The sequence below is a fragment of the Homo sapiens genome, chromosome 10 (assembly GCF_000001405.40).
Source record: "Homo sapiens chromosome 10, GRCh38.p14 Primary Assembly".
Lineage (NCBI taxonomy): Eukaryota > Metazoa > Chordata > Mammalia > Primates > Hominidae > Homo > Homo sapiens.
The window spans coordinates 109,924,425-109,937,010 of NC_000010.11; positions in this window are offsets into that span (position 1 = coordinate 109,924,425).

Genomic DNA, 12,586 nt, shown 5'->3' on the forward strand with positions numbered 1-12,586 from the left:
TTTCACGCAGCATAAAAGCTCCATTTGATCTACCCCCAGCCACATTTCCTCCTGTTCTCACCTTCCTCACTCTTCTTCAGCTGAAATGGCCTCCTGGCTCTCCTTGAAAAAGCAGGGTACACTCATGTCCCAGGGCTTTTGGACTTGCTCATCCCCCAAATATTGAGGCTCCCTTCCTCATTTTCCTTCAAGTCTTCGTTCAAGTATCACCTACCCTGACCATCCTATTTAAATTTGTAAATCATTCCAATATTCCTAATCCGCCTTACCCTACTTCATTTTTTCCATAGCACTTACCACCTTTTAACAGGATTCTTTTAATGTACTTATGTGTACTGTATTCTTCCCCCTCTCCTGCCACCACCCACGCACACAACAAAACCATCAGTGCAGATTGTTTCTGTTTTGTTTAATGATGAACAATATCTAACATGTCATAAGTTCTCATTATATATTTTCTGCAGAAATGAATGTTTCAGAATGTGCACTCCTCAAAAGCAGGGATGGTGGCTCTCTTGTTCATTGTTATTTCCCTGGTGCTTAGAACAACACCTGGCACTAAATGAAAGTGACCACATTTTTTTAAAGGTGAATGGCACCTCCTCCTGCTTTGACCTTGGTGTAAGGCCTAATATACCTGTATCAGCTAGGTTCTGCTACCTGCAAGAACTCAAAGTCGTTATTGAATAAGCATTTAGGCAAGCCGAATTAGACTGTGTAGTTAAAGCATGAAAAAACTAAAGATGTGCTTCCTGGGAAAGCAGCACACATCTGTTGCATTTCCCCAAATTTATGAAGCCAAAAACAGAGAGATTGTAAATAAAATACTGGTTCCAGCCCACATCTGAAAGCTGGTGGGAAAAATCAAGTTATAAGAGAAAACGAGATAAGAGAGAGAGAGATAAGTGAAACTTAAGGGGGACAGGTATTTAATAATCACATTGCCTAAAAGAAAAGGAGTTGGCTCAGAATTTACGGCATCCAGCTTCAGGGGAGAGAGAGAAATACCTTGCATTCCCTGAGCTGGATTTGAGTTCCTGTTTGCAAGATAAAAAAAGGAACCCTTTCCCCTCTTGAAGTTTTTTTGTTTGTTTGTTTTTTGAGATGGAGTTTTGCTCTTTTTGCCCAGGCTGGAGTACAATGGCACAATCTCAGCTCACTGCAACCTCTGCCTCCCGGCTTCAAGCAATTCTCCTGCCTCAGCCTCCTAAGTAGGTGGGATTACAGGCATGCGCCACCACACCCGGCTAATTTTTTGTATTTAGTAGAGACGGAGTTTCACCATGTTGGTCAGGCTGGTCTTGAACTCCTTGGCCTCGACCTTCCAAAGTGCTGGGATTACAGGCATGACCCACTGTGCCCGGCCTCGCTCTTGAAGTTCTAACAAGAGAACCTCTGGAGAAGTTATAGCACTGAATTACCATGAGAGAATGAGAACACCAGGAGTTATATAGGTTCTTCTCCTGGCTCTACAGTCCTTGCATCCTCAAAGAAGTGGAACAGTCACACTGCCTGACATTCATTGAAGGCTATGTGTCTAACCCACAACAAACCAATGGGTGAAGGACTCTTATCCTCATTTTACTGGTTGAGGAGACTGAAATTTGCAGAGGTTAAGCCCCTTGCCCAAAGTCCCTGAGCTAGTAAGTGGTGGTACTGTAACATACATTCAGACAGCAGGATGGATTCCTAGCCCTGACACTTAATCGCGAAGTTATCTGGAAGGGACCCTAGAGGTGGCCTCATCCAGTCTCCTAGCCCACACAGCAGAAAGAGGGAGACAGCTGGTTTTGGCATTCACACCCAGACCGGGTGGGTCTTAGATGTAGCCAGAAATATTAAATGCGTAGAAATATGTTGGATTGAATTGTGACCTCAAAAATTCATATGTTGAAGCTCTAACCCCTAGTACTTTCGAATGTGATCTTATTTGGCAATAGGATCAGTGCAGATGTAATTAATTAAAATGCAGTCATATTAGAGTAGGAAGGATCCCTAATCCAATATGAAGTGTCTTTATTTAAAACAGAAAAAGAAATCACACTGTGCACACAGGAAGAACACCATGTGAACACGAAAGCAGAGATCAGGACGATGCATCTACAAGCCAACAAACACCAGGACTGCCAACAAACTGCCGAAAGCTAGGACAGAGCCATGGAACAGATTCTCCCTCACAGCCCATGGAGTGAACTAACCCTGTGGGTATCTTGATCTTGGACTTCCAGCCCTCCAGAACAGTGAGACAACAAATTTGTTTTCAAATCACGCAGTTTGTGTTGCTTTGTTACGAAAGCCCTAGGAAACCAATGTAAAACAAGTTCCAAATGTCCGTGTATAGATTGTGGACCTGTGTTTTGGGCCACCCGACATTCATTCATTCTCCTTCTGATAACCATCCTACCAATTCCCTCTGGGGCCCACCTCTCCCTACTTCCCTCCTTTCCCCATTCTCTATGTATGTTATCCAAGTGCAACACTTGGATTCCAAGAGTGTATCATGTAACCCAGGCATAGGCTACAATGATAGGATCAGATATTGCTATGGGAATAGAGTCTTGCTTCCTTCTGCCAGCCAAGATCCTGGATGCATATACTCGAACTGCTGCCTCTATGTGCAACATGTGAATGGCACCAAGGCAGCAGAAGACAGAGCAAATAGAAAGGGGAGAAGCAGACCTCAAAACGTTATTTGAGTGCTGCATCCTGCAACACCTTAAACCAGATGTCCCACTGGACTTTACTTAAGTAACCATCTGTACCATTGAATTTTATGCATGAGTAGATATCATTTTATTAATGTAGACAATCACGAACTAACAAAGGGAAAAAGTAAATTATAAAACAATATAATATCCCTTTTTTTGTTTTTGTTTTTTGTTTTTTGTTTTTTGAGACAGAGTCTCGCTCTGTCACTCAGGCTGGAGTGCAGTGGCACAGTCTCGGCTCACTGCAAGCTCCGCCTCCTGGGTTCACACCAATCTCCTGCCTCAGCCTCCCGAGTAGCTGGGACTACAGGCTCCCGCCACCACACCTGGCTAATTTTTTGTATTTGTAGTAGAGATGGGGTTTCACCGTGTTAGCCAGGATGGTCTCGATCTCCTGACCTTGTGATCTGCCCACCTCGGCCTCCCAAAATGCTGGGATTACAGGCGTGAGCCACTGCGCCTGGCCAATATCCCATTTTTATAACATATCCATAACTATGTATACTGATACGGATATATAGATACAGAGTTTTTTGGGAGGGAGAGACAGGGTCTTGTTCTGTCACCCAGGCTGGAGTGCAGTGGTGTGATCACAGCTCACTGCAGCTTCGACCTCCCAGGCTCAAGCAATCCTCCCACCTTAACCTTCTGAATAGCTGGGACCATAGGCACACACCACCACACCCAGCTAATTTTTTTTCCTTTGGTAGAAATAGGGTCTCCCTATGTTGCCCAGCCTTGGTCTCAAACTCCTGGGCTCAAGCAATCCTCCCGCCTCAGCCTCCCAAAGTGTTAGGATTATAGGCACGAGCCATTACACCCAGAGTAAGTACTTTTTTAGAATAAAAGGAAAGTGATCCACAAAATCTTAGTGCATATCTTGAGGTGGCAGAACTTGGGCTGATTTTAATTTTGCCATTTTTTTGAGATTGTTTTTTATTAACAAGAAACTCAAAGTACTAATAATTTCTCTGGCCCTTACTCCTTGGAAGGCAGAGCCAAGGAACTCGTTTTGTACTCCAAATCCAAGCACTACAAGTAATAGTAGCCCTCTAGTATTCAATTTGATAATTGGTTGATGACCTGACCACTTATTGAAACAGGAGCAACATCTCTTGATAAACTCCCAGATGAGAGGACTAAAAAAAATAGAAATCCCTGTAGGAGATCAAACAAAATTATAGCTTTAGAGGAGAGTTTTAACCTTTTCAAACATTTCAGTTTGTTCTAATAAAATTGATAGTTACAAGAACAGTAATGAGTGAAGCTCTCATAAATCATTATAACATGGCCTTATTTTTTGTAAAGTTAACTAAAAGATAGGCTTGAGGTTGCACCCTAGAAAGGAATGGGAGAAGACAAGCCAACTTTCAGGATTGTAGAGTCTGCCAAAACAATGTACTGTAAATTAAGGGTGGGAGAATGCATTTGGCTCAATTCAGAATCTACTCACCCTTTGTATTCAATGAAAACTGAACTCAGACCTTTTGATATCTGAGTTCCATTTACTCTTGGCAAAGTTCAATTCTCTGGCTCAAATTTTTTAAAAAGCCCTTTAAGAGGCCCAGAGGGTTTCTTGAACATCAAATGGTTCTTGCACAAACAACATATTGATGAGCTAAGTGCAAATGAATTAGAAACATACAGAGTAAGTGTTCTTTGAAACACACAGACCCTCCCACCCTATGAGGGAAAAGACTCAGGGAAGCTCTATGGCAGTCTCTTCCTTTAAGGAGTATTCCTTTTTACCGTAATTTATCCCCTCCTCAAGAAGCCTTTGGGGGACCTTTGCAAAATATGGGAAAGGGAAGAGAGTATATCCAGCTGTTCATGATGTTGACTTCTCACAATCCCTTCCAAGCTATGTCTTCAAAACTGGGCTTTGGAGAGGGGCAGCACAGCCTAGAGGTCAAGGTCAAGAGACAAATTCTGACTCTGTTTCTGCCGCTAAATAAATGTGTGACTATAGAACTGGCAGAGCACCCTTTCCTCTGGTTTCTTAAGGTGTTGGGCTTGACAAATGCCTTCCAGTCTGACTATGTAGTAATCAAATCCCATATGTTTTCTTTGACCCTGAGTATATATTTTTTTCTTTTCTTTTCTTTTCTTTTCTTTTTTTTTTTTTTTGACAGAGTCAGAGACAGAGTCTCACTATGTCGCCCAGGCTGGAGTGCAGTGGCATGATCTCAGCTCACCACAACCTCCACCTCCCAGGTTCAAGGGATCCTCCTGCCTCAGCCTCCCGAGTAGTTGGGACTACAGGAGTGTGCCACCACGCCAAGCTAATTTTTGTATTTTTTAGTAGAGACGGGATTTCGCCATGTTGGCCAGGCTGGTTTTAAACTCCTAATTTCAGGTGATCCACCCACCTCAGCCTTCCAAAGTGCTGGGATTACACTATGCTCAGCACTACATTCTCTTTTTAATAACAGCTTTATTGGAATACAATTCAGTGCCATACACAGAGCCAATTGAAAGTGTGCAATTCAATGGTTTTTACTATATTCATAGAATTGTGCAAGCATCACCACAATTTTAGAACATTTCATCACTCCAAAAAGAAACTCATACCCTAGGGCAGTCACTCCCCATTTCCCCCCGTCCTCTCCACCCTAGGCAACTGCTAATGTACTTTCTGTCTCTATAGATTTGCCTCTCTGGACATTTCATAAAAATGGTATCATTTAATATCTGGTCTTTTGTGACTGACCTCTTTCATTTAGCATAGCATTTTCAAGATGTATCCATGTTGTAGGATGTATCAGTACTTGATTCCTTTTTATTACCAAATATGCCAATTAAAATTCCATCGTACAGAATATTACTTTGTTTATCCATTCATCAGTTGATGGACATTTGGGTTGCTTCCACTTTTGGATATTGTGAAGAATGTTTCTATGACAATTCATGAGCAAGCTTTTGTGTGGACATGTGTTTTCATTTATCTTGAGTATATACCTAGGAGAGAAAATACGGAGTCATATGGTCACTTTTTGTTTAACCCCTTGTGGGAGACTTTTGGACTGTTTTCCAAAGTGGCTACACCATTCCCAGCAGCACTGTTTGGGGGTTGCAACTTCACATCCTCATCCATACTTGTTATCTTTTTTTCAATTCCAGCCATCCTAGTGGATATGAAGTGTTATTTCAAGTAGTATTGTGGTTTCAATTTCCGTTTCCCTGATGCTAACGATGTTGAGCCTCTTTTCATGTGTTTATTTACCATCTATATGTCTTTGTTGGAGAAATGTTTAGTCAGATCCCTTTCCCATTTTAAATTGGGTTATTAGGTTTTTTTGATTATTGAGTTGTAAGCATTCTTTATATATTCTAGATGCAAGTCCCTTATCAATTATATAATATGCAAATACTTTCTCCCAATCTATGGGCTATTCCATTTCTTTTAAAATTCTAATTAGATGGAAACATTCAAAGAGGAAGATTTCACTATTTAAAAATCCGTGACGGGCGCGGTGGCTCACGCCTGTAATCCCAGCACTTTAGGAGGATGAGGCGGACGGATCATCTGAGGTCAGGAGTTCGAGACCAGCCTGAACAACATGAAGAAACCCCATCTCTACTAAAAATACAAAATTAGCCGGGTGTGGTGGCACCTGCCTGTAATCCCAGCTACTCAGGAAAGCTAAGGCAGAAGAATCGCTTGAACCCGGGAGGCGGAGGTTGCAGTGAGTGCAGATCGCGCCATTGCACTCCAGCCTGGGACACAAGAGTGAAACTCCGTCTCAAAATAAAATAAAATAAAATAAAAAATAAAAATAAAAATAAAAATCTGTGTCTTCGGTCTCTTTTGAAAAATCGGAAGGTTGGTTTGGCAATACTAGTCTTTCCTTCTATACAGTAACAAGGAACATGAACAGCGCAGGGACTGGCCCCATGAAATGGGACAGAGAGCCCTCCATTTAACCACTTACACTGTTCTACTTTACCTGCCAGACCACTATTGATGTCCAAATTTGTGACTCCTCCTCCTGGAGAATCTGACAAACATGGCCTGGATTTCAACTTCACTGAAATTGCCCTTGCAATTAAGCTAAGGTAACTACTTCTTGTCAGAATGGTTTCACCTTTCGCACCTAAACATAGAATCCCCCAAACTTAACACCAGCTAGCAAGTCCTCACTCTTCTTGTTTTGCAATTTGGATTTTGCAAGGCATGGGGCAACTCATTGGGGCTTGGCAGAGCCCCCAGAATTCTGGCAGCCCTGTGTGTACTGATGTCATGAGTGTCCCTTGCCATAATGCATCCTCATTACTAACTCAAATCTGCCAAACTCAAACAATTGGAGCTGAAAAACAGAGTAACAGGCTGCCTGAGCTGCAAAACAGTGCATAAAAATACTCAGAAAAACAATTAGTGCCTAGGACCATATCCAAGAATGAAAATCACTATTTATTATTGTTAATCATCCCTTTCCCTGATCACAATTTGCCTGCTAAAAGCAGCCCCTTCTCAAAATACAATGAGTAGTTCTAAAAGATATCTTAGTAATATAACCTAGTCATATATATTCTTTTCCTTAGTTTCTCATTAACCTATGTTTAATGTTTTATTCATCTACTCCTTCAATTTAATAACCTTTTTACCCTTACTTTTTCTTTTTTAAACAGCTTTATTGAGATGTTAGTTCTCATTACCATTCAATTTGCCTCTTTAAAGTGTCCAATTCATGTCTTTTATTATATTCAGGGTTTTACAACCATCTCCACAGGCACTTTTAGGGTTTTGTTTTTTTTGTTTGTTTGTTTGTTTTGCGACAGAGTCTCACTCTATTGCCCAGACTGGAGTGCAGTGGTGCAATCTCGGCTCACTGCAACCTCTGCCTCCCGGGTTCAAGCGATTCTCCTGCCTCAGCCTCCCAAGTAGCTGGGATTACAAGCGTCTGCCACCATGCCCGGCTAATTTTTGTATTTTTAGTAGAGACAGGTTTTCACCATGTTGGCCAGGCTAGTCTCAAACTCCTGACCTCAGGTGATCTTCCTGCCTTGGCCTCCCAAAGTGCTGGGATTACAGTCATGAGCCAGTGTGCCCAGCCAATTTTAGGACATTTTTATCACCCCAAAAAGAAATCTCATATCCTTTAGCATCACTCTTCTTTCCTCCCATCCTCCCCAGTCACAGGCAACCACTAATGGGCTTTCTATCTCTATAGAGTTGCCTCTTCCAAGCATTTCAGATAAATGAAATCCTACAACATATCATGCTCTGTGACTGGCCTCTTTCACTTATCATAGTGTTCTCAAGATTCATCTGTAATGTAGCATTCATCAATATTTCATTCCTTTTTTGCAGAATAATATTCCACTGTATGAATGTACCACATTTTACTTATCCATTCAAATGGACTTTTAGGTTGTTTCTACTTCTTGGCTGTTATGAATAATGCTGCGAGAACATTTGTGCATAAGTTTTTTTGTAGGTAGATTTCATTTTTCTTGGATAAATACCTAGGATGGAATTTCTGAGTCATAGGGTAACTCTATGCCTAACATTTTGAATAACTGATGAACTGGTTTTTTTTAAAGTGGCTGCACCTTTCCCACCAGCAATGCCTATTCTTATTACTCTTTATTAATATATTTGTTTTCTTTTTTCCATCAACTGTCCCCAGATTTCAAATGAAATTCCTAATTGCTTTTGCCCTTGGGGAAGTGGAGTGGCATTTAATTTTAGAGTGAACCCTTCTTTAGCCTCTCCTGTTAAGGACTCCGTTGGAGAAATCACACTTCAAGGGTCCCTTCACTCTTGTAAATCAGAATTGTTACCACAGTGCTACTTAAGCCAAAGTCTCTAAGTATCTAGCCTAGGTATTTTAGATACAAACAAAATAAAGTAATTCAATCATTTAAAGGCATAGACGTGGAAATTTGGAACTAGAAGGGGCCCTAAGGATTCCTTCATCAATGCCTTCATTTTATACATAAAGATGCTCTAACCAAACCGAGAGTCATGTGAGCAAGGCCACACAGCTGCTTATTAGAGAATAAGACTGAAACCCAGGTCTTCTGATTCCCCTCTATTCCTCTGATCAGTTCACCCTATAGTCTCTCAGCCAGCTGTGCTTAGCAAACACTGGGGCAATTATAATTCCAAGAGCAAGGGCTGCATTCATACATAGAACAGAGTGGAGAATTAGGTGATTCCGGGTACCATGGGCTGATTCTAGCCCATAGATGTATTTAGCTTACCCTACAAGGTATTTTAAGATTTTTTAGAAAATAGTTGCCAACTCATAAAAATGAAGAAATTTCGGCCAGGCGCGGTGGCTCGAGCTTGTAACCCCAGCACTTTGGGAGGCCGAGGGGGGTGGATCACGAGGTCAGGAGATCGAGACCATCCTGGCTAACACGGTGAAACCCCGTCTCTACTAAAAATACAAAAAATTAACCGGGCGTGGTGGCGGGCGCCTGTAGTCCCAGCTACTCGGGAGGCTGAGGTGGGAGAATGGCGTGAACCCGGGAAGTGGAGATTGCAGTGAGCAGAGATCAAGCCACTGCACTCCAGCCTGGGCGACAGAGCGAGACTCCATTTCAAAAAAAAAAAAAAATGAAGAGATTTCACCCCGCCCCCCCAAAAATCTGTTAGCATTGGACCTGCGGTTCCTGCTTAAATTTTGCAAGCAACAGGCTAGAGTTGAACAGTACCTCCCAGTACCCATCCAGTGGACCTCTCTTATCATGTCACCTGCCTAGTTCCTGAAAGTATTTTAATTTGGGACCCTTATTCCAGATAATTGAGACATATATGAGGTGTTTATGCATTTGCTCTCTGTAGAAGTACCCCCACCCCACCTGGTCCCGGTTAAAGAGAGAGGGAGAGAGATAGACACCAGACAGACAGATACTGGTTGGCAACTCAGATCTTTGCAGGCTTGCAGGGCTTGTGAGGGAAGCAGCAGGGTGAGCAGGAAGCTGTGGGGACTCTGTGGGGCCTGCCTTTGGCCTAAGTTCACAAAATAAGCAGCAGATGCAGCAAGGCCTCTGCAGATTTAAAAAAAAAAAAAAAGCATGTTGCGTCAGAGCACATGTCTCCCCAAAGGGTACGTGTACGAACAGCATGCAGACTTGTGAACTGAAGCCCTTCACTTTCCCAAGTGTGAAGAGCTGGGCCTTAACTTGTTTCCATAAATTGCCGTTTAGTTTAAGCTGCTGTGCAGCACATCATCTCTCCTAGTCAATTGCTAACTGGTAGTGTGCACCATGGTAACCTGCAGGCCAACAGATCCTGTTGGATCCCAGGCCAACAGATCCTGTGGAGCAAAGCACTCTGCATACTGAAGTCCTCTGTCAGCTGGTATGCCTGGACTCATTCATGTGTTGATTGTGAAAAGCATGCTGCACATCTTTTGGCTCTTTGCAAGCTCTCAGTTCTTGGAGGTGACCAAAGCTTAATCCGCAGTTGGGTCACAGACACTGAAAGGAGTTTCACCTTACCTTAGTATTTAACACCACAAGCCTTGGTGTCAAATAGATCAAGGCTTGAATGCCTGTTCTGCACCTTAGTAGCTGTAAGATCTTGAGCAACTCACTTTTTTCTCTCTAAGCCTCATCTGTAAAGTGGGAAAAAGGATACCTGACTCTGAAGGCTATTCTGAAGACTGAAAGAAAGAATACAAGAAAAGTACTCTGCACTGTCTGGAGCACAGACAGAGCACAATAAATGTTGGCTCTATTATTCCTGAAGAGCTCCCACAGTGCATTGTACAAATCTGATATCTATACATCTTCATAAAACCATAGATGGTCAAAACTGGAAGAGTCTTTGGAGACCATCTAGTTCACTAAACTTACGAGGAAAGCAGTTTCCTCCTCCACAAAATGAGGTGGTGGCCCTGGCCAGCATGTGGTCCCATCAGTCTAGGGTTTTGTCAATGCCCTTATTGTGTAAAGCAAGGCGCACCTGCAGACACCAGAGTAGATTTGCCCATGGGGTAGGCCTTACTGTTATGTTAAAGAGTCACCTTTCCTGCAGCCTTGGCTCACTCCTTAATAGGCAGAGCTTAAGAGGCCCCTGGGTGAGGCTCAGAGACAAATGAGCTCAGAACACATGTGGGAGGGCACGACTTACATCCTTTCCCTCTTCGCCAGAGTTGCCCGAGTGTGTGAGCAGTGGGATGGACAGCTCTAAGTTGGAGTTCAGCACAGCTGTGAAAACAACCTGTTCCCATGGCTTCCCTCAGCTCTTTGGCACAAAGAGACCTTCCAGCAGCTTCAAACAAAGGAGGAGCTACTCTTAAATGGAAAGAGAGCAAAACAGAAAGCTGCTATTGTATGACCTCGTCACCAACTAGGTCTTCCTTCCTTCCTTCCTTTGAAGTTAGAGGGGATTGGAATCATGTGGGTGTAAAGCAAAGAAGAAAAAAGAAATAGATTAAAAATCTCATGTTATACACCACAATCACCAGTTTCCAGTGCCCTTTAACTGCAAATAGCCTCAAGACATGGAAACAACTCCTGTCTGTTGACAGATAAATGGATAAAGAAATTGCATAAGGGAATATTAGTCAGCCTTAAAAAAAAAAGGAGGTTCTGCTATTTGTATCAACATGGATGAACCTGCAGGACATTATGCTAAGTAAAATAAGCCAGATACAGAAAGAAAAATACTGCATTATCTCTCATTTTATTTGTGGAACCTGGAAAAAAAGAAAAAGTTAAATACATAGAAACAGCATTAAATGATGGTTACGGCAGGGGGCAGGAAATGAGGATATTTAGGGCAAAGGGTACACAGTTTCAGATATGTAGGATAAATACATTTAGAGATTAATGTACAACATGAGGAATACAATTATAATATTGTACACTGGAAATTTGCTAAAATAATATATTTTAGGGGCTCTTGCCACACACACACACAAAAAGGGTAACTAGGTGAGATTTTCACTATGTATATCAAAACATCATGTTGTACACCTTAAATAAGCAATAAAAGAAAACTGCAAACAGGCTTTCAAAGGCTAAAAACCTTAAGCTGTTGTGCTGGGCAAGGCTCTGCCCAACCCTCCGCTTCATCCATGCACCTTCTCTGGGCCTCTTTCTCACCTTCCTTTGTGCCTCGGGACTGTCGCACATCCTGTTCCACAGTCTGAGGATATTGCACATCCTCAAAATGAGCCCCTCTACACACCACCTCTGCCCCAATACCTCTGCCCCAATAATGCAAAATTTAAGCAGGAACCACAGGTCCAATGCTAACAGATTTGGGGGAGGGGGTGGTGTGAAATCTCTTTATTTTTATGAGTTGGCAACTATTTTCTTTTCTTTTTTTTTTTTTTTTTTTGAGACGGAGTCTCGCTCTGTCACCCAGGCTGGAGTGCAGTGGCACGATGTCGGCTCACTGCAAGCTCCATCTCCCGGGTTCATGCCATTCTCCTGCCTCAGCCTCCCGAGTAGCTGGGACTACAGGCGCCTGCCACCATGCCTGGTTAATTTTTTGTATTTTTAGTAGAGACGGGGTTTCACCGTGTTAGCCAGGATGGTCTCAATCTCCTGACCTCGTGATCCACCCGCCTCGGCCTCCCAAAGTGCTGGGATTACAGGCATGAGCCACTGCGCCCGGCCAGCAAGTTGGCAACTATTTTCTAAAAAATCTTAATCCTCCTGCCCCCTGCCATAACCACCATTTAATTCTGTTTCTATGTATTTGACTTTTTCTTTTTTTTCTAGGTTCCACAAATAAAATGAGAGATAATGCAGTATTTTTCTATCTGTATCTGACTTATTTTACTTAGCATAATGTCCTGTAGGTTCATCCATGTTGATACAAATAGCAGGACCTCCTTTTTTTAAAGGCTGAAAAATATTCCTTTATGCAATTTCCCAAAACTCAAATGACTGACAAAAGCAGTGAATGAAGT